The sequence below is a fragment of the Homo sapiens genome, chromosome 18 (genome assembly GCF_000001405.40).
Source record: "Homo sapiens chromosome 18, GRCh38.p14 Primary Assembly".
NCBI classification, from domain to species: Eukaryota; Metazoa; Chordata; class Mammalia; order Primates; family Hominidae; genus Homo; species Homo sapiens.
Window position 1 is genome coordinate 53,780,403 of NC_000018.10, and position 3,843 is coordinate 53,784,245.

At 37.0% G+C, this 3,843-nt stretch overlaps 1 annotated feature.

The window, feature by feature from the left end:
* Positions 2,436-3,635: an enhancer, noted in NCBI's record as "BRD4-independent group 4 enhancer chr18:51309208-51310407 (GRCh37/hg19 assembly coordinates)". NCBI's record gives its function as "activates an origin of replication core promoter dependent on BRD2, P300/CBP, MED14 and CDK7 cofactors, and independent of BRD4, by STARR-seq in HCT116 cells {active_cell/tissue: HCT116}" and the evidence as "EXISTENCE:reporter gene assay evidence [ECO:0000049][PMID:35650434]".

Sequence of the window (3,843 nt, forward strand, 5' to 3'; positions counted from 1 at the left end):
TCACTCAGCTTCAACCATGTTGTTCCCTTGCTGTTTTTCAAACATTCTGCTCTATACCCCCATGAGGATCTTTGCCCTTGTTATTTTCCAACTCAAAATATCCTTTCCTCAGATACTTGCTTTCTATTTCTTCAAACACTTCATCACCACTTGACTTATTTAAATATGTATTTATTTGATGTGTTCCACCTTAGAATGTAAGTTGATGAGAGAAGGAACATCTGGATTTTTCCTTGTTCTGCTACTACCCCAAATCCTGTAAGACTATCTGGTATATAGTAACTATTCCATAATGCTTATTAAATCAACGAGTTGATGAATCAATCACAAATGTAATTGGCTTCCTCTGCCTTCAATTTTCATTTAGTAGCATGTAGAAACAGGCTTTAGAATAGCAATATAGACAACAAGCACTTTTTAAGGAAGCAAGAAATATGACCCATTACATGTGGACTTGGCTAGAAATAATTGAGAAATGGAATACTTCCTTAAGGAAACTGAAGAACTAAACTATGACATAAACTTTAGATGTTTCAGTTTCAGAGTCATGATTTCCTGGTGTTTAGTTTTAGGTTTGTGCTCTCAAAGATCAATCAGAAAGGAAACTAAAGAATTACAATAGTGAGTTTAATCCAAACAAAGATGTGTTGAAGAAATTTCTTTAGTGATGTCTGCTGACCACTGAAAGACCACCATAATAAAATGGTGGAATGCACTTTAAAATAGCATCACTGAGTAGTAAAAAGAGTTCTAGAATAGAATTTGTCTCAGCTCCACTGCTAATAAGCTGTGTAACTTTGAATTAAATATTAAATTTAAATAGTTTTCAGAAAATATTTGCCTGTCAAATGAGAGTATAGGCCTATGTAATCTCTATGGTTTCTTAATACTTTTCTGCGAAACAAAACACTAGGAGATAATCTTAACAGCCATAATGTTAAATGTGATCCTCTTATGTTTAAAGAAATGAGGTCATTGGGAATCAATGACTTCTGATTTTAAAATAACACATAAACCAGTCAATTTAATTGAAATAGACTTATTAAAATTATTGTTCTTGGTGATACTAATAAGAGGGTAGGTGACCAGGTATTTCATCAAGGTATTTCATGGAGGAGTGGTAATTCAGGTTTGTTTTTTTTTAAACTCTCTACTGATAATTTGCCGTGTAGACATAGGCCACATAAAACTGGCTTCAGTTAATCAAGTGGCTTTAAAACAGTTCAGTCTGATGTGCAGGTAACAGGTCCATCAATTAGAGGTCAATTAGATACAGTTACCTCAAAGTTAATTCCATAATCAGACTAAGATGACCAAAATAGAGAAGTTGAATAAAGTCTATTTATAATAGAGCATGAATACTTAAAAGCAAACAACTTCCAATTTGGAATATCAAGACTTGTCTTACCTCTACAGATACAGAGAAAGAAAAAACTGCTTCCTGAGGGGATTCAGATGACAAACAAATCCTCTCCCCGTCGAATAATGTTCCATTTTTGCAAACTCATATTGTGGTAGATACACTGCCATCACCACAGACCAAAAATCCAACCAATTTTAAGCAAGACTGGCCCATCCTTCTCCTTTACACAAATGATCACTCAGACATTACTTTCCCTGTAAATATCTGTGCCAAGAAAATGTCTTTCCTGAAAGCAACATTTTTTAAAATTAATAACCATTTCTTCTGACACACAAAAATCAATGGGTCCCATTTGGTGCCTGAGGTATCACACTGACAAATAAAGGGCAGACCCCAAATGCATACTTTTCACCATCTGCCTGGAGCTTCAAGCATGCCAGGTTTGAGCAGCTTTAGATTGTTTCATTCAGTGAATTTGCTGTGAAGTAAATTCAGCCCTTGGCAGTTTTTTCTTTTCATCACCCCAGCACAGCTAGGTTTGTTGTTGTTGTTGTCCCTGGTTTTTTCACTCTGAGAATTCTAATTATAGTCACAACAACAAAGCAATTCATATATTTGTATCACCTCCTAGATTTTCATTTCTCACCATCAACACTAATCAGTATTCTAGTCTGTTAAAAATGGCACATTTTACAGATAATCACCTTCATAAAAGCTGTCAGGTAAGTATATCATTAGCACTGAATGTGTAAGGTTCTTCAGCCTCAAATACCAAAACCAGAGACATTTTCTGAAGGTTGCCTTTGGGAAGAAAATTTATTAGAACACTGACATATCCTCACTATTTTTAAAGAGATAGTCCAGTAAAATGTTCTTGAGTCATCAATCCAGTACCTGGCACAAAAATGCATATAAAACTGGAAGTTGAAGCTGTTGAGACTGTACTACAACTTCAGAAAGCAAGAATGAGGTCATAACTTGCTGTCGCTTCTTTCCCTCTTCACCTCTCTGGCAAAGAATTTAGGATCTTAAGTCATACTGCTGACTCTGTCTACTCAGGAAACCCTCAGAGGATTGTGTCAGTTTTCAATAATGAAGCAATGACTAGTAGTACAATGAAAGAGTGAATGAGCCTTCCTATATCTTATGAAAAGTGATTCTGATACTGAAGACCAGGATAGAATCTTCACTTCTGAAACTACCAATAGTAATTCACGTGTTAAAATCATCACCATCATCATCACTATCACCATCCTCATTGCTGCCATTTATTCTGTCTACTAAAGTAAGGGAAAGCACTATGTTAAAAGCTTTTACATATATGCCACAGTTCATTTGCAAAGATGGTCTCAATAATTTCTCCCATGTCTATGGGCAGGTCTTTTTGCAGTGTGACTTTGCCACTCTTTCTGTCAAGAAGTAGAGTTTATTTTCCATCCTCTTGCATCTAGTCTGGTCTTGTACTTGTTTTATCAAGTAAAATGTGGTAGAAGTGACTAGGGGATTCCTGAGCTTCAGTCACATGAGGCCTTGCAGATTTTGCAGCTTGAACTCTTGCCCTCTTGCTGCCCTGAGACCACCATACAGAAAGCCAGTGCTGGTTTCTTAGCAGATAAGAGACTGTGTGGAAGAGAGAGAGAGAGAGAAACAGAGAGAGGTAAAAAATCATCAGTCATTAAAATGAGGCCATCATGGACTATCCAGCCCCAGTGAAGACACGAGATGATAGCAGGCACGTAAATGACCACAGGTAAGACCACCAGGAAAAACACCAACGCAATCCCAGCCCAAATTTCCAATTCACAAAAAGATAAGCAAAAATAATGATGTTTGTTTTAAGCTACTAAATTCTGGTTTGTACACCGTAATAGTTAACAAAAATGCATCTATTTTCTGTTTGAATCTTCAATAGAACCTTGTGCTCTTTCCAGAACATCCACCACACTGCCTCTAGTGTCAGTCTGCCAACTGTTTACTAGATACTTGAGTGTCCCACTTGATATGATGCACTTATTTGGTCAAAAGAAAATATGAGATACTAACTTCAAGAAAATGAACAGGGGGAATGATTAATTAACATGAAACAGAAAGTCATACTTAAAAGTTATAATTTCTCTCCTGTCTTGGCTGGGAAGGAGTGAGGAAATTGATCTAGAGGTCATTCTCTGCAGTTACAATTTGCCCAGATATGGGTCAGAAAGTAGGAGGTCAGGGAGAGGCTCAAAGTTTATGGGTTTTCATATCACCATTACCACTTCAAATGTCCAAAGCCCATTCTCCTTTTCCAGGTGTTTCAAGGACTCTGGTCTGTTGAAAGGGTGGTTGTCTGCATAGAGAGATTTATATATAGGCCAAGTAGTTCTGAAGCCAAGATTGTGCTTCCTGCTGAATGGTCACTGGACCTGCTGGCTGCAGTCCTCACCGTTAACATTGAGAATGACAACATGGCCCCTTGACACAGGTGATTTAACAGTATAGAG